The sequence below is a fragment of the Homo sapiens genome, chromosome 6 (assembly GCF_000001405.40).
Source record: "Homo sapiens chromosome 6, GRCh38.p14 Primary Assembly".
Taxonomy (NCBI): Eukaryota; Metazoa; Chordata; class Mammalia; order Primates; family Hominidae; genus Homo; species Homo sapiens.
Window position 1 is genome coordinate 8,533,065 of NC_000006.12, and position 19,592 is coordinate 8,552,656.

At 36.2% G+C, this 19,592-nt stretch overlaps 1 long non-coding RNA gene across 2 annotated transcripts in view, besides 1 other annotated feature; it reads left to right on the plus strand.

Annotated features, from left to right (window-relative positions):
• The window catches only part of LOC100506207 (uncharacterized), a 349,823-nt gene that overhangs the window by 97,442 nt on the left and 232,789 nt on the right, over positions 1–19,592 (plus strand). The window lies entirely within an intron of this gene.
• Positions 402–571: an enhancer, noted in NCBI's record as "experimental_96299 CRE fragment used in MPRA reporter constructs". NCBI's record gives its function as "activates a minimal promoter by MPRAs in K562 erythroleukemia cells, with activity observed for the introgressed 6:8533784 variant allele {active_cell/tissue: K562}" and the evidence as "EXISTENCE:reporter gene assay evidence [ECO:0000049][PMID:34662402]".

Below are 19,592 nucleotides of genomic sequence, written 5' to 3' on the forward strand. Positions count from 1 at the left end.
CTAACACAGCATCCATTCTGTGGGTGAAATGCTATCAAAGAGCATCTCATGCTACAGAGACATTTTTTTGTGAAAGGAAGAGTCAGTGTGGCAAATTTCATTGTTGTCTTATTTTAAGAAATTGCCACAGTAACTCCAATCTTTAGCAAGCGCCACCGTGATCAGTCAGCCACGAATGTCAAGGCAAGACCCTCCACCAGCAAAATGATTATGACTTGCTGAATGCTCAGATGATTGTTGGCATTTCTTAGCAATATTTTAAAATTAAGGTCTACATACTATTTTGTTAAACATAGCTATTACACACTTAATAGACTATAGTGTAAACATAACTTTTATATTCACTGGGAAACCAAAGGTCCCATGTGACTTATTTAATTGCAATATTCCCTTATTGCAGTGGTTTAGACTACAAACCTGTAATAACTCTGAGATATGCCTACATGTTGAATTCTAAGACAAAATGAATTTGTTTCATCTTTTTAAGTAAAAAATTTGGCTGCAAACTAAATGTTTCTATTTCAAATGAAAATAATGGATTATTTTGTTTTCTACCCTCATGGATTCAATTTCTATTGGGTAAACCACAATGACATTTTAAAATAAACTTTAGCATATCATAGAGAGCACTGTCTTTGTGTTTTATTGTTTTCTCTTCTGTTTGCATGTTTACTAATTCACCTCCAAATATTTTGGCTAAGGAGAAATCAAGACAGCAGGCCAAAACTAAACCAATAATTGGTTAGTCTTAATTTTCCAAGTTTTGCCTCTCTTTATTTTGTTAGACATGTTCATTAAAAATATATTGTAAGCTGTTAGAATGAAAAATTCCATGTCCTGGACATCATTCATATCCTCAAATGAGCTATATATTTATAGACCTTACAGTTTTATTAGAATGTGTGCAACTAGGTAATAGGAATGTGATATTGCTTTTTATTAAAAACCAAATACCATATTTTATAATTAAAACTGGCTACAATAGGAAGGGATGCAGTCTGATTTTCTGTTTTTGTGATGAGTTGTCACGGAGCTGCTTATATATGCTGAGAAGCAATATGGCATAGTAGAGAGAACACAAACTCTAGTGTTACAATTCCTTGGTTGGTGAACTAACTCTGTCATCTGACTTTCTCATCCAGAGATGGCTTACTGTCCATCAGTCTTTCATGCCACTTTTCATATCATAGAGTGGTGACTGGCAAGTATGTTCCCTGCCAGAGCCCATGCCCCCATGTCCCTCTACCTCTTGCATAGAACTGCAACCACAAGACTATGGAATGTGAACAGAACTGATGGATGTCTTTTCTGGGCCAAACCAGTTAAGACGCAGGTATGTATGCTCCCATTTTCTTCGTGTTTTCCTGAAGGCAGAGGATTTTGAGGCCTTAGAGGAGGGCAGAACCACAAGACACAAAAAGTCATGAATATCTGTGTTGAAAGGGGTCACTGACCATTGACCACAGTTATGAGTTCTGAAATGATAGCATGTTACAGCAGCTAACACTACTGTGCAAACTAATATGTACAATGTAAATCTTGGCATTGTTTTTTTTTTCATCTCTTAAATGTAACAAGAATCTGCAATATAAATAAATGCAAAATGAGGAGGCCTACCTCACAGAGTTGCTAGGAGCCTCAAATGAAAAAGTGTTATCACAAGTGTTTCATAGTGCTAACCAGATGTACAGAATTTGCCATAATTTCTTATTCTCTCACTTGGTTTCCTAGGAACAAATCATATTGCACCTATGAGCTGGTATGGAAGTGTATTGACACTATATTCTGCAACATTGTAAGAAATTGCTTACAGCTTTTTTTGCTCAACATACTTTGAATCCTCTCCTCTCCTTACTGTGTTGTGAGGAGTAATCAATGTAGTATGGCTTTTTCTGTTTCACCACTTTTATGGGCAAATATTTCATGTCAGACATTGTACTGTGTTATGTCATTTTGTCATCACAACAGCAAGAGGTGGGTGCGTTATTCCTTTTTACACATGAGATGTTAAATATCTGAAAGATTAAGTGAACTGCCCAGAGTCATGTGGCTAGGAAATGGTACCACTGAGATTCAACTTGGTTCAGTTTGACTCCAATGACATGACTTACAATCACTGTATTCTCATCTACTAAGTAATTCATGTAGTTTGCCCCTTGAATCCAAAGGAATGGAAACTTCAAAAACCTTCTCTTAACCCAGGTTCTTCAGAAAACAGAGTCTGAGGCTATGATTACACTACTGGCACCTGATTTGGAAGATGAAAACTCAGGCAAAATGATGAGAATGAGAAAAAAGCGGAAGGGAGAGAAATGAAGCAAGGAGCAATGGGAAGCAATGTGAATGGGTTGTGACCACACTTGGCTCTTGCTTCAGAACATGCTACAGAGAGACACAGTAGGCTGCTTGGCAAATGTGTTGGCCTAGCCCAAGGTTTATCTCCAGACTGGTTGCAAGGAGAATTCATATCACTAAGTAGCTGCAGGAGTGAGGAAAGGGTGGGAATACAGCTGCCTGCATCTCCCCTTCTTCCCTCATTTCCTGTTGTTCAAAGTTCTTCTCACAGAGAGGAGTTAACTTCTTGGTCTTTTTGAGTTGCGTAATCTGGCCTGTTGGGTGGTCACTCAAGATGCCAGATCTCACATCTTGTGTGGATGTGGTGATTCAGCCAAGTCCGGGAATGACTTATAGGCATGGATCTACAGTGACAGCTAATGGATAGAGCCTGGCACACCCAAAACTGCTATCCGGAAGGCCCAGGCATGATTTGAATTGCAGGGTCTGAGTGGAGGAAGCTGCTAAGAGTCTGGAAATTGGGAACTGTGAAGGAAATATGAGGAGACACCTAAGATGGGTCTGACAGAACCTTTAAATGATTCATTCAGTTAATATTTATTGAATGCCAAGGGTATGCCCGGCACTGTTATAGGTGATGGAGAAACATCAGTGAAAGAAAACAAAGTTAAAAAGTCTTTGCTTTCATGAAGCATATATTCTAGTAGGGAAGAAAGAAAAAATGTAAGATGTATAAGTACAATATATGGCATGTTGGAGTCAGATCAAGCTGGAACATGGATATGAAATGTTTAGAATAGAGAGTAGTCAAGAGATTCTTTATTGCAAAGATCACTTTTGAGTAAGACCTAACAGAATGGAAGCACAACCATGACAATATTTGGACATGAGCAAGTGCAAAGGTTCTGATTATGGAGTGTGTGGGCACATTCCTGCAACAGCAAGGAGGCGAGTGAGGGAGGAGAGGAGCTTGTTATGAGGAGAATCATATGAGCAAATGTCTGGATGATGTTGACTCATGTAGGTAATTATAGGGACTTCATATTTTTTATTAGTTATGCATTTTGACTGACTCATTTATGCATCACAACAATGGAAAGATGGACAGCATTATTCCCGTTGTATGGATGAGCAAACTGAGCCTCATGCCGGTCAAGTGAAGGATCCAAAGTCCTATCTAGCAAAAGATCACAAAGTGATTACTAGAAACTTCATTATTGGGAGGAAACACACCTGTCAAAGGAAATCCACTCAGTTCCAACTAGCTTTCAGAATCGAAATGCCTAAGTATGATCAGTAACCAGGAATGATGACAACTTCCATGAAAAGCTGTTTATATTTATTCCTTGCAACAGTCCTCTGAGATGGGTACTGTCACTATTTTCATTTAACGGATGAGGAAATTGAGATATTTTAGTAACTTACCCAAAGTAAAAACATTGGAACGTGACAAATTAGGAATGGAACATATGCATTCTGCTTTTAGAAACTGTGCTATGTCTACAAGGACACCATTGCCTTTACAAATTCTTTAGTTAATGTTATTGTATGTCATATTTTTTCCCAGAGTCCTTCCTAGTCTTTCTTCCTTTTCAGTTTTAAAAAATAATCATATAATTCCTGGTCCTTTTCAGATAATTACTTTTTCTTTCCCCTTGAGACAGAGTCTCTCTCTGTCTTGCCCAGACAGGAGTGCAGTGATGCGATCTCGGCTCATTGCAGCCTCTGCCTCCTGGGTTCAGGCAATTCTCCGGTCTCAGCCTTCCAAGTATTTGGGACTACAGGCATGTGCCACCATGCCTAGTTAATTTTGTATTTTTAGTAGAGACTGGGTTTCACCATGTTGGCCAGGCTGGTCTCGAACTCCTGACCTCAGGTGATCTAACTGCCTCGGCCTCCCAAAGTGCTAGGATTATAGGCATGAGCTACTGCGCCTGGACTCATACTTTATTTTTTAATCATATCTCTAAGGCTGTGACAAAATGTCTTCATCTTATTTTTTTTCTAATTTTTTCCCAACATTGTTACTTGCTTTCCTTACTTCTTACTGAATTAACATCTTTTGCAAAATTTTCAACAACTCACAGTGAATAGGAAACTTTCTCAGTTTGTCTTCATGTGAATTTTTATTTATTTTTGCCTTTGTTTTGAGTGATAATTTAGGTATAAACTTTTATGTTAACAGCGCTTCAGTGGTTTTCTGGCAACTATTTTTATTGATAAGAATATTGCTCATTATTTAACTTTTTCTTCAATACATCCTGTTTTTCTGCCTTCTTTATAGATTTTTTCTTTGTTTTTGAAATTCTACAGTTCCACTGCAATATATTATGAAGAAGAAAAATTAACCTACTCACTTTGTGTTTCTTTTTGCCATATAAAAGTTTATTTCTTCTTTTGGTTCTGGAAAATTCAGTCATTTTGCTTTGTTGCTTTTCTTTTGTTCTTCCTATTCTTGTTCTCTGGAATTTTTGCTAGATGTATATTGGATATTATTTTTCTATTTTCTAGGTCTCTCCCCCGCCTTTTTTTTTTTTTTTTTTGAGACAGGGTTTCTGACTCTGTCACCCAGCCTGGAGTGCAGTGGTGAGATCATAACTCACTTCAGCCCCAACCTCCCAGGCTAAAGCAGTCCTCCTACTACAGCCTCCAGAGTAGCTGGGATTGCAAGTGCTTGCCACCATGCCCAGCTAATTGTTTTCATTTTTGTTTTTGTAAAGATGGGGTCTTGCTATGTTGCCAGGGCTGGTCTTGAATTCCCGGACTCAAGCAATTCTTCCCCCTTGGCCTCCCAAAGTGCTAGGATTACAGGCATGAGCCACCATGCCCAGCTTGTTTTCTAAGTCTCTTTACTTTCTTCTTATATTTTACTCTTCTGATCTTTCAGCTTATTAATTCTCTCTTCATCTCTATCTAACCTACTATTTAGCCAATATATTGAGTTTCATTAAAAATCAAATTAACTGGGGTAAAATTTACATACAACAAAATACATACATTTTAAATGTATCATTTGAAAAGTTTTGAGAAATATATACATATACATAACTATCACCCCAGTAAAGATAGAGAATATTTTCATCATCACAAGTTACAATAAATTTCTCATTCTCCTTTGCAATGAATTCCATCTACTGCCTATCTCAGGCAACTACTGATCTTATTTCTAGGCTGGGCGCGGTGGTTCACGCCTGTAATCCCAGCACTTTGGGAGGCTGAGGCGGGCAGATCACAAGGTCGGGAGATTGAGACAATCCTGGCTAACACGGTGAAACCTGTCTCTACTAAAAATACAAAAAATTAGCCAGGTGTGGTGGCGGGCACCTGTAGTCCCAGCTACTCGGGAGGCTGAGGCAGGAGAATGGCGTGAACCCGGGAGGCGGAGCTTGCAGTGAGCCGAGATCGCGCCACTGCACTCCAGCCTGGGCGACAGAGCGAGACTCCGTCTCAAAAGAAAAAAAAAAAAAAAATCTTATTTCTCTCACAATAAATTGATTTTGCCTGTTGTAGAATTTCAATAATGTTCTAAAAACATATGAATAAAAACATATAGTATATATAGTCCTTTGTATCTAGCTACTTTCAACTCAACATGTTTTTGAGGTTCATTCATGTTATGTTTATTAGAAATTCACTGTGTTTTAATACTATATTTAATTTTATGTATATACTATCATTTAATGATAAATACCTGATTTTATTTTTCTCCAAACAGTTTCTGCCTAAGAACACATAACAAACTGGGAGTATATATTAAGCTATGGTGGCCCCACACTTTTAGCATTATAGGATACACAAACATCAACACTTTGGAATTACTTATAAGTCGAATAATAAACCAAATTCTAGAGTGTGTCTGACACTGAGAGTATGGGCAGAAAGGCAGAGAAGTCTTAAAAAATTTCATGAAAAAGAATAGATGAGTGGAGACACTTAGATCAAGCACAGAAATTAATTCTGTAAGAAAAAGTCCAAGAATAAGTTCCATAGTTCTGAACGCAGAGCTGGGACTTGGTAGTTTATTGCTCTGTCTACAGGGAAGGGCCTTGAAAGAGAGTCAGACCAACAATAACATCCTTGGAGAAGCATTGCTCTTTGGAAAAATCAAATATATAGGAAAGGTGGTGGCTTTTGGAGATGTCACAGTTAAGGCAAAGAAGGAAATAAGAGTGAAGAAATTAAGGATCCTGCAGAAAAGAAACTGGAAAAAAATGGCAATACTCTCTCCTCTCTATCATTACCCATTAAAGCATTTGTATTTTATTAAACTAACAGAAGAGGGCACTCTTGAACTAGTAACCCCATTGACAAGGACTAGAAAAAAGCAGATCACATTCACATGAAACTGCTGTAAAAAGAAAATAGAAAATCTGAGTAATTTCAGTTGTTGAATATTCTCCCCTCCCAAAAAAATCACAAAGCAGAAGAGAAGTATAATACAACTTCTTAAATTGAATATTCTCCAAAAAGCATTTGGGGATACAGAAAAAATATACCTTAAATTAGAAGTTTGAAAACTAAGAAAATAAATTTCCAAAAAAGAGGATGAAATTCAGAGTTGATTGACTTCAGGAATTGGAATAAAAAGGAAAAAAAATACCAGATATGAAGATTACATTACAAAATACGTGAGAGAGTAGACTTAAATAAATACTGACAATTAAAACTATTGCTATCATCCTACAAGGAGAGAAAAATCAGACAACCTACAAAAATTTCCAGGGCCAGGGACTATTTTGTGAAGGCAGCTAGGACTGGAAGTGGCAACAGAGTAAGGCCAAATATACATAGCAGCTGATCTGGCTGGGCATAGAAGTAAAACACATTCTACTCCATGGTTGGAGTAAGTGGGAGATAGTAAACCCTTCTTTTCCCAGAATCTTATGGCTATATCCACATCTATATTATTAGAGGCCTGCTGCTGCTGATTTAGGGGAAATTTCTGCCTAAGGCTAACCAGAGATACAAGTCAGAGTTTTTCTACCATGGATAGCAGAAGAAAGCCACATGTCTGAGGTTATCATATCCAGAAAACTCTCCACTTGCAAACAAGAGCATACAAGAGCATAGAATAACAAACCGCAGTGGTCCACCACTAGGGGAAACACAAGAGGGTGGAGAAATAACCATTTAATGACAATGTGTGGAGGGATGATGAAAGCGTAGGTAGAAGATAAATGCAAAGAAAGCCTTTTACAACCCAACATTGATTCTAAGCTCAAGGCAATGGCAGTCCACCACTAGAAGAATTTGAAGCCTATGGTGCAAAACCAATAATCATAGCAGCCTCACAACCCAAATACAGCTCAACTGTTGACTAGTTTGACTCAAATCCTTACACTAATGTTCCAATTATTACACATAATGTCTCTGTTACACACAATGTTTAATGAAAGTTATAAGATTCACAGAAGCCAAGGCAGAGAACAATCACTTGTCAACAGACAAACCAGTCAACAGAACCAGACTCAGAGATGATCAAAATGTTGGCAGTATCAGAGATTTTAAAATAACTGTGATTAATGTCAAAGGATTTAAAATGAAAAAGATGGAGTGTGAAATTTCAACAAAGAGTTAGAAACTATAATACAGAGTAAAAGAGAAATGCTAGAATTATAAACACAAACACAAACATGTATGCACACACAAACTACTACAGATGAAAGATGAAGTATGCCTTTGAACAGCTCAGCCAGTAACTTGATATAGCTGAAGAAAATATTAGTGAGGAAAAAATCAGGAAAGCATTAGTCTTTAAAATAATCTAAACTAACATGTACAGAAAAGTGAGTGGGAAATGAAAACAGGGTAAATTCAAGAGCTGTGGGACAATATCAAATAATCTAACATATCTTTAATGGATCCCATAAAGAAAAGAGTGAGAGAAGAACAGAAAATGGATTGAAGAAATGTTGAAAATATAATAGATAAGAACAGACACTCTCAACCTATACTTTGTACTATATATAAAAAAATGAACTTGAAATGAAAAATAGAACTAAATATAAAACCAGAACTTTAAAACTGCATAAGACACTAAACTAGAAAACATAGGAGAAATATTTGTGACTTTGTGTTAGGGAAATATTTCATAGACATAAAATAAAAAGCCCAAATCATAAAAGGAAAAAATGATAAATAGGACTTCTTCAAATTGAAAACTTTCTTTCTTTGAAGGACAATGTTAAGCAAATGAAAAAGCAAATGTCATAGACTTGGAGAAAATATTTATAAGACATATAACTGAGAAGCAGTCTTTAATAGAATATATACATAATTTTTAAGGCTCAATAATTAGAAAATAACCTAATTCAAAAATGAGCAAAATATTTGAAAAGATAGTTCATTACTCTACAGATAGTGATTGCAAGAAATCACATGAAAGGATGCTCAACACCATTTTTTATTAGAGAAATGCAAATTGCAGCTACCATAAGATACCAAAACATACCTGGTAGAATAGTTAAAGTTAAAACAAAATACTGTAGCAGACAATACCAGGTGCCGGGTTGGATGGAGACCAGCTATAACCCTCACATATTGCTGATGGTAATGTGAAATGGTACAGTCACTTTGGAAAATTGTTTAGCAACATATATAAACTTAAATATATACTTGCCATATAACCAAAGAGTTCTGGTCCTACACAGTTACATGAGAGAGAAGAAAACATACACACACACAAACACACACACACATGCAATGCCCCCAAAACTCTACCTAAATGTTTATAGTAGCTTTGTTCCTAAGTTATCCCAACTGGAAAAAAAAAACAAATGTCCAGTATTTGGTAAATGTGTAAACAAACTAGAATCTGTTCTCTTCTTCCTCTTTCACCAGTGCACCAACTAAATAGCAAAAGCAATAGCAGGAATTGTTTTTGACCTATTCTACACATCTCCATTTTAACAATAAAATAATAGAAAAAAAAGAAAAATAAATTTTGCAACTATGATTCTTAATTTTCACTTCAGATGTAGTCATATGTATATTTGTAGGATTCGTCAGGAACCTGGAATTCTCTCATGATAAAATACATGGAAGCTTAATTACATTAATAAAAACACAACACTATTGAAATTTTGCTTTCTATCAGTTAAAACAGTAGATTACAGGAAATTAACCATTTTATGCCCTTTCCTGAGTATTGAGTTTCTCAGCATTTTAAAATTTATTAAAAATAAATCATGTTGAAAGTGCCAATGTTGCCACCCTTTGGAATGACATTATTTACATACAAAAGAGACTACTGCTAGGATTGTTCCCTTCACCTGCTTTTCAGTATGCACGCTTTTGGATAGAGGAAGAAGCCAGGGTGCCTTTTCCTACTCTCATGCAGCCAACACAACACTTCTGACCCCAGAGGTGTGAGGGTTTTCTCCCTTCACTAACCAAGGAATTCTCCAAGTGGACATCAGATGAGTGTTCCACAATTCAATTCAATTCGAATCTGACACGATCTACCTGGAGATAGTATCAGATTCCACAGGTTGAGGGCTCAATCTCACAAGCCTGTCTCCCACTTCAGATGACAGTTGCAAGCCTCAGGCTGTGGCTTGGTTTCTGATTGACCGGCTATAAACTGGGGTTTTCATGACCTCCTCCTTGGGTTCAGTTAGTTTGCTAGAGTTGCTCACAGGACTCAGGGAAACACTTTACTTATGTTTGCAGTTTATTGTAAAGGATATTACAAAGGATATAAATGAATAGGCAGATGGAAGAGATGCCTAGGGCAAGGTGTTTGGGAAGGGTTGCTGAGCTTCCATGCCCTCTCTAGGCACACCACCCTCTTGGAACCTCCATGTATTCAGCTATCTGGAAGCTCTCTAAACCCAGTCCTTTTGGATTTTTAGGGAAGATTAATTAGGTAGGCCTGGTTGATTAAGTCATTGACCATTGTTGTCAATCACCTTAACCTTCAGTCCTTTACCCTTCCCCAGGATTTGGGGGATGGGACTATATATTCCAACTCTTTAATCAAGCCTTGGTCTTCTGGTGGCCAGCGATCATTCTGAGGTTATCTAGGGCCTCTCAGCAACCAGTCATCCCATAACATACAAAAGACACTCTTACCACTCCTGAGATTCCAAGCATTTTAGAAGTTGTGTGACAGGAAACTGGATGAAGATCAAATATATAAATCTTATTATAAATCACAATATCACACATATATGGACCCCAAAACTGTTGGGGATAATGAAGTTGGTTTAAATGTGCAGACAGCAAAAAGGTTGTCAAAATCTTGCCTAGCTTAGGGAAACTGACAGAGTAGATTTCTTGGCAGTATCTTTGTGGTTGTTAGATTCTCAATGTCAAATATCTTTCCTTTATACCTCTATGTTTCTTTAACATTTTCTTTAAATTTGCACAATTTAGAAATTTCAACAAATTAGAAAAGCAATTTATGCTACGAAGGAATCTTTTCTTAAAAATTAGAGTACTCTTCAGTATTTTAAACTTTCTTAAATCTATATTCATATGTTAGCATGATTTTGTTTAAAATACCCAGCAGACATCAGCCATGCTGGATTGATTAAGATAAGCAGTTGATAAAAATTGGAGCTCCGAGCAGGCCTGGATAGATTGCTGTCATGAGAAGATTTGGTGAGCAAAAACAAGAGTACTGAATGTCTATATAGCGAACACCAGGATGCTGAGGGCGTTACTCAATTTGTCCCTCCTTTTTCTTTATTAATATTCCCAGCTTCCTGTATATGCCTCAGCACACTGAGTTCAAATTAGCCTATAACAAAGAATAGGGAATTGAAATAAACATACATGAAGCCCTTATATTTCATGGAAAGGAATGACAATTGGATCATGTACTCAAAATCTTATGTTTCCTATAATCTTATGTATCCTGCACAAAAATGCTCATATATGAGAAATACGGGGTTTACTTGTATTTGTGAGCCAAATTTACCTGGTATGATACTTAACAATTGCAAATACTGTACAGTTTCTTACTGGAACTATGCATTTTTGATTTCTTAATAATATACAAATAAACTTTTGAAAGGGCAACTATTTAATACTGCCTATAGCTGCATTTTATCAGTTATTTGCAAAATTTAATCAAGCACCTTGTGTCATAATTTCCTTGGAGAAACTTCTATATCTCAGGGTGCAATAGTATTGTCTTTGTGTCACACACTCAACATTTGCTTTTTTCATAGTCTCTCTACCCTTTAAAACTCAAGTTAGAACAAGCAAATAAACAAACACACCCTCTCCTCTCCTCTTCACAATCCCAGAATACCATCCATAGCTAGTTTATAACTTTTTGAAATGGTAATCAGCAACTATACCTGTGCATAACATCTGCTGGGAATTTATATCTATTTAATTCACCAACCAGGTAATAAAATATCCTGGGTGCAATTTTCCCTAGAACTATGGTATATGGACTCAAATTGAAGCAGACATAAAAAAGTATGCTACTTGTTTCCTTGGCAGACTTTTCAAGAAATCACAGAAAACTAAAAACTGAAAAACTCTATAAAGAGTAGCCTTTGCTTCAAGATTGGTGTCTTTTATTAGGATGAATGTTTAATTATGAGCTTCCTTTAATTTCAAAAATGCAATATCTTTATCTGTTAAACCCATGAGAGGTAAATAGATAACTAATTTTCTAATATCCTTTTATAGAAAAAAATTAAAACCACAGACTAGATTAGAAACTGGGATATAATTTCCCAGACTTTCATACGCAAAGCTTTATAAAGCTTGCCTAAATCTTGAAGACATAAGTGGTTTGAGAATCATATCTCTATCCATATTTCATAAGAAAGGGGAAAAAAGGTATTTAGTTCTTTGGAAGGTAATGAGAGTCTATCATTTAGTTGAGCAAAACAGCTTTCATTCTCCCCCTTACTCTTAATAACATACCTTGGTATTTAATTAATTAAATATCTTGAAGTAGCAGAGTCCAAAGGCTCACCTGTCTTCATTGTGTGAGGATGGAAATAGTGAATGAGTTAAACATCCATTGGACAAGTGAAGATTTAAGCATTGTGCATTTCCACCCTCTGTAGTATATTACATGGACAGAGCTAGGTGGTGTGTGTTCCTGTAGACTTGGTTGGTTAACCTCCAGAAGTAGGCAGGAAGCACCCACAGAATGATGAGACAGGAATATATAATTTCAGGCTACAAAGACAAGAAGTCAAAGACAGCCTGAGGCGAGACTCTTGGCAAGCCAAAAGAAAACATGATTTTCCTGAAAGGCTGTAGGCAGCTCCCTCCCCTCCTCATCACTCTCACTTCTGCACCCTCCAATCTCAGTTCTGTCTGCATATCCTACAAGCTCATTTAGTTGGCTTTTTGCTCACATGTAATTCATTTTCAGGGCTGTAATCTTGAAATCTACCCTTTTAGTCTGGTCCTTCATGACCAGGCTGCTGCCTACTCTACCAGTCTATTTGGAGCAAAACTTCCTAGCTCTCTACTCTCTAGTCAGCTTTCCTGTAAAGAGCCCAACAGTTCTGCCTTGAATGCTCTTTCTTTCCCTTTTCTGCTGAATTCCTGTCAACTTTTGGACCCATCTCAAATGGAACCTCTCCAAGGAGACTTCCTTGATGTCCTGGACTAGGTCTCATCTCAAAGTGAAGTCCATTCTTTACTCTCCATCCCAAACCCACCCTACACCACTTTGTAGCACATACAATTTTAACAAATAATTGGCTGTGCAAGTATTTACTGCCTGTAATCACAGCACTTTGGGAGGCCGAGGCAGGCAGATCACAAGGTCAGGAGATTGAGACCATCCTGGCTAACGTGGTGAAACCCAGTCTCTACTAAAAATACAAAAATTAGCCAGGCGTTGTGGCACATGCCTGTAAGCCCAGCTACTCAGGAGGCTGAGGCAGGAGAATCACTTGAGCCTAGGAGGTGGAGGTTGCAGTGAGCCGAGATCGCCCTACTGCACTCCAGCCTGGGTGACAGAATAAGACTACATCTCAAAAAAAAAAAACAAAAACAAAAAAAACAAACAAAAAAAACCAATTATACCATTTTAAATAAGATATGCTATTGAGAATTCACTGATAAATTCATATTTGCCTATGTAATATTACATTTATAATTATAATATATATTATTGTAATATTTTTAATATGAAGTATGTCCAAAAAGCCTTTTTAAAACCCATTTGTTGCTCAATGTGATGGTTCAAAGGCCTTTGCAATCCTTACTTTTCAATGTGGAATGAGAGTATATAATTGGAATTTAGAGATAGCTCAGAGAGATACATCCTTGTACTTTCTGATAAACCAGGATGAATAATTTAGGTCCTTGTTGTGGAGAACTATTTCGTGAATGTTGATTTTGCCATTATCAGCTTTGTCAGCTACAAGAATCTCGCCACACACTGGGGTGTCCTCAATCTTGGCCGCTGTTTATCAGTGGTGTGGTGATGCATAGGAGAACTAAACTGAATGTTTAGGGCAGAGACAGAACTGACTGGGATGGGACACCGGACACGTCTACTGCAGAAGGCGAACGATGGGCATGAAACAGGTCACTAAAGTAAACACACACAATTACAACTGCATTTTGTTTGGAAATTTTCATGTAGACTTTTCTGTCATTTTCCTCCAGATATAACTTGGCTTACCTTTGTACTCCTAAATGAGGTAATTAACACACGTGAATTCACATCCAAATGAAGCTTTCAGGATGATCTCCAACTTGGCTTTTATTTTTTTTTTTTTTGTTATTGTTGTTTTATTTGAGACAGGGTCTCAATCTGTCTTCCAGGCTGGAGTGCAGTGGTGCCATCTCGGCTCACTGCAGCCTCAACCTCCTGGGCTCAAGCGATCCTCCTGCCACACCCTCCTGAGTAGCTGGGATTACAGGTATGAGCCACCACGCCTAGTTAATTTTTGATTTTTTTTTTTTTTTTGTAAAGACGGGGTTTCACCATGTTGCCCGTGCTGGTCTCGAACTCCTGAGCCCAAGGATTCCCCCTGCCTTGGCCTCTCAAAGTACTGGGATTACAGGCGTGAGCCACCGTGCCTGGCTAGCTCTTAGTTTTTATAAACTGTGATTGGTTTCATAGGAGCTTAGGTCCTATGAAAATATTGTTATGCTTCATTAAAAAGTATGTATTTCATTTTTAGGATATAGAAGGGCAAAGTAGGTCTGAGGGCATACAGAGCTATCCTTAAGTTTAACACTGCCTTTTTGGATGTATCTCAGTATACAGCATTTAATTTCTAGGTGATTCCAGTATAATGAAGAGTTTACTTCTGGACAATTATTCAATTGTTTTTGATAAAACTTATTGATTCTCTAATCGATACTAACAGAAGTAATTTGCTCCAATGAGTTGCTTACTAAAATATAGGGAGTGGCTATACCGGATAAATGAAGGTCATCTTTAGCTATTTCTTAATAATAAAAAGAAAGATAAACAAAAATATGAAAGGCCAAGTACCAAGAATTCCCTTTGCCTGAAACATCTGAGTCACAATAATATATTTTGAGTATTTCTATTTAGGAGCAAGGCTACCTGAAATCTGACTAAAAGTCATGAGCTTCATTTCATAAATCACATATCAAAAGCTGCATGTACATCGCAGTAATCCTTTCATAAAATGACAGACAATGTAGCATGTTCCTTTGAACCTTTTCACCTTATTTTTTTTTGGATAACACAAATGAAAAACTAATGATATTGCCTTGATGAAGACACTGCTTGACAAACGCACAGTGCTCCAAACACATTTGAATTCTTTTTTCTTTAATTATGGCAACATTCCTTACCCAGCTCGTTTAATCTGTAGTGCAAATCTTGTTTTTGTTAACACTCAACTAGGCAATTATTAAACTTTTCATTCCATGGTTTATAACTACTTTACAGAGTCACTAACCAGATTATCATTTAGTAGGATGAGAAAGTCGGTTCTGCATATTTCAGATTACATTATCTTTAAAATAAATTATTCAGATGATCACTGATTGTTTAATTATGCAGACTTGGCCAAAATGTTACCCCTTTAAATGAAAATGCAACCAACACAGGAAAGTAAAGTTAATTGCACATAGGAAGTTTCTTTTTGTTTATTTCTGCTGAAAAATAACCTTGGTGGATTCTGTTACTTGAGATTCAGTTAAACTTTCAAATCAAACTTAGGTTTGTATCAGCAAAACATCTCCCTATAGGCTAATTGCATATATTGTAAGGCGACTTGATCTTTTTTCATTCTTTAAATTACAACTCATTTATTTAAAGAAATACTTGTCAAAAGAAAGCTTTAAGTAGTGAGTTAAAAAAGCAGTGTTAAATAATTAAATTGACTGTGATAAAATTGCCTTAGTTTAAATAGACTAGTCTATTTAATGAATTGTGCTTTTATAGGGTGAGATAAATCTATGTGAACTCAAGTGGTTCCACCAGAAGCACTGAATTTGGACAGATTAGGAGAAAGTCAAGAAGAGGCATTTATAATAATGCAGTTATATTTTATTTTATTAAAATTACACCCAGTTATGAAACTGTTTTCTGCCAGGTTAATAATAAACTTAAAATATTATCAAGAACCTTACACATATTGAACAATTCAGATCCCCTGAAGAGGAAGTAACTATATTTGTTCTTTTTCTCAAGTAGAAATCATAACTTGAGGCTTAATTAGAAACACAGCATTTAATTTCCAATTTTTAGGAAAAGATTCAACTTACGAACCTTCAACATTGGATGAAATTATTTTGGCAGTGAGACTGCAGCAGGAAATTAATTTCATATTTTAAAGTAAATTTGGCAGGTTTACTTTCCTGTTTAGTGTTGAAAAGGGTTTTTATAACATACTATTAAGCTTCCATGGGGGTCCGCCTGTGTAGCAATACTTGGTTATCACTTCAAAAGGGAAACTTAGCTGGAACGTTTTTGTAGCTCTTGATTACACTTCTTGTGTTGTTAAGTGTTGAAATACATTTTATGTGCTTAAAAACAGAGAAGCAACTTGAGACAGAAAAAAAAAAAAACGAAGACAAGTACAAACACAAGGATCTGTTCTCATCAAAAAAGAATCACAGACTAAGACTGTGGATCATGTAGAAGGTTGGCAGTCATTTTCACATTGGTTGAATAGTGAAAACCAAATTCTTTGTTACATAGGTCAAGGCTGAAAGAAAGAAGTAGAAGATAATATCAGTTCGCACATACCAATGGACCATTCCACTGTTTAAGAGTTGTCTCTTCTTTTGATCTGACCCATGAAATTCCTATTTTAGTACTTACTATCTGAGAAGTAGCTTCTTAACTTAAGGCAAAATTCTTTTCAACACACACACACACACACACACACACACACGGAGACTTCCTGCTTGGTATTTTATGTTCTTACTTTGAGGAGCTTCTAATGGTTACAGCGAAAAAATAGGAAATCAAATTCAAGTTCAAAATATGTAACAGAGATATTTAAATCCTGATTTTAAAGTAATGATTAGTTTATCTTAGCAAGAAAATGGAATGTGGATATAAACTGAATAATTCCAGGACCTTCCTAATCCTGATGTTATTTAGTATTAGAATATTTCAATTAGACTTTTTTGGCAACTAAGCTTTTTCTTATTATAAAAGTTACACATGCTTGCTGTAGAAACTTAGAAGAGAAAAAAGTAAATAATACCCATAACTTCATTCATTCAGCAACAATTTATTGGATGCCTAATAGATGAAATACACATTTCATACCTTTATGGAGTTTTTGGTCTATTAGAGATAACAGATACTAAACAGATTGCCACAAAATGACTAAATGATTAAAATAGATTTAAACGCTGTGAAAACTGGGTCCAGAGTTCTTTGAGGATATCTAATAATGGACTTATTCTAAACTGGGGATTGGGTTGGGCTCCTGTGAGGATGTGTTTTAATGTGAGGTCTGAAGGAGAGTCAGGGAGAGGCGGTAGGGATGGTGAATGGAAGAATAACATTCTGGTTGGAAGGAACTGCAAATGGCCAGGCCCCAAGGCTGCAAGACCACTGGTACATTTCAGGAACAGAGCACAAATGAGTGGACAGTAGTGAGCAGAAAGGAAAGTGGCTAATAATAAGTTGGAATGAGAGGAACTAGATAGTCATATGGGATGTTTAATATAGGAAGGAGCTCATGCTGTATTCTAAGAACAAACAGAAATAAAGAATTCTAACATTTTCTATCAACTAGGTTCCTCTTGCTTGTTCTTTTTCAATGTTTTAAGAAGATCAGATGTTAAATGCTATGTGAGGATCAGACTATGTGAGAAGATGATTTTTTCATATACTTAGTAATGCATCATTCTATATTTATTAAATGTTTTTCCACAACATTTTTTTTTGTGGTTAATTTCATTACATAGATTTTTTATAGTTTACTTAGCCACACTCTTATTTTGTACCTTTGGATTTTTTAAAAAAGCTATAATTACCAATGATGTGATGGACATCTCCTTATAGACAAATATTTTCAACATCCATGATTGTTTCCTTAGGAAAAATTCACACAGCACAGACAGGATCTCTCTGATAGAGAGATAAGGTTATTTGCAAGCTTTTAGTATGCATAGCCAAATTGCCTTCCAGAAAGGCTGGTACAATTATTTCCATGGTAGTGTAGAAGACCATCTGTAATAAATCCAGTTTTTGAGCCTAAATTACAGAGATAATGGGGGGCGAGGGGAGAATTTCAGATTCTAAAATATGACCTTGAATAGTTATTGACAAAACTGAAATCTACTTAAAGATTCTTATTTGATGATGGAATTTGAGCCATGTGACTGGAAATCTATAAAATTTCTGTCTTCCTATTTGGTTTTAAATTAATAATGACATTGTTTCCCTATGATATCATTGTGCAATGATCATGAAAATGTATTGTCAGCTTCAAGGTTTATGGGTAATGTGTAGTTTTCAAAATTTGTATAGAGAGTTAAAAAAATGAATGTACATAGTAAAGAGACAATATAGTGACTCTAAAACTTAAAATTTGAATTTGGGGCAAATTATTGAAATTAACAATCATCTTTGAGACTGTGTCTAGACACACAAAAGATAGTAGAAATAAATGCAAAAACAAAAGGGTGTCAAGATAAATGAGAACAATGTCTTTAACTCAGTATGATTAAATCTAGTCTCAAATGTTCCAAAGCTATTTTTAAGCAATTGTTTTAAATTTGCAACACTAGGACTGATAGGCTATCACTGGATGTTTTTCTCACTAATCTCAGCTCTGACTCTTGGCAATGTACCCCAGCTTTGATATGCCGCTGGCTCTTTGGCTTCTAGTTCCAAATACTATTCTCTCTAGCTTTTACTCATTGCTTTCCTTAATGGATTTTGGCTTCTCTTGACTTTCTGGATTTTCTTACTTTGGATGACCTCTGATGGGCAGACCCCTCTTCCCCAAATGCTCCGTCTCACCCTGCTATGGCTCCTTGGAAGACATGGCCCTGGCAGTCATTGCTGGGACAGCCTTGGCTATACCATCCTTGAGTTGGGGCAGATATTTGGAAAATTAAAGTATATAGTTTCTTAAAGGGTTCACATAATTATTGAAATTTCCTAGTAAATCATCACATATTTATGGTAATTTTCTTCTGTGCAAATTGGGCAAAAAAATTAATAAAAGGCACCCTTCCTATCTCTCAAACATGTAAATCTATGGGTATAATGAGGTGCAACTTTGATCTAATGAATTCATGTTTTACTTGAATCACTAAATGGAGATGTAGTATTTTATAATGCAATTATCCTGAGAGTAGATATACACATTGCAATGATGCAACCATTCTTCCAACTGTATATAGAATTCCTCTTTTTGGAGAAACGGGAGTAGGCGTGGTAAACTTTGTGAAATGTGAGCTCTATTCCCTACTGTTGCCTCTTTCTCTTATAATTATGCTGACTTGTGTGCTGCTGCCATGCATAATTTAGTGCTAAATTAAGTGGCTAATTCAGCAAAGGCTCCAGGAGTTCAAGGAAGGAAGGGTGCTCAATGTGTGTTTGAGCAGTCAAGGAAATTTTCTTAGAGAAGATGGGCCTTGAAAAATAAATATTATTTAAGTAAGTGGAAAGAAGAAGTCAGGGTTCCGATGAAGAAAATCATTTCGGCAAAATGAAAGAAATGAGGTTTTTCAGAGTTGCTATATTTTGTGCTATGATGATTGACAAAGTGTACTTTTCTACATACATTAAATTAATACATGCAACTGACCCACCTTTGTTGAGCTATTTACTTTTTAACTGTATTTTTAAATAATGATAGTGCTTTTACTTTCTCAGCCTTTTTTATTCTAGGAACATGTGAGGCTCA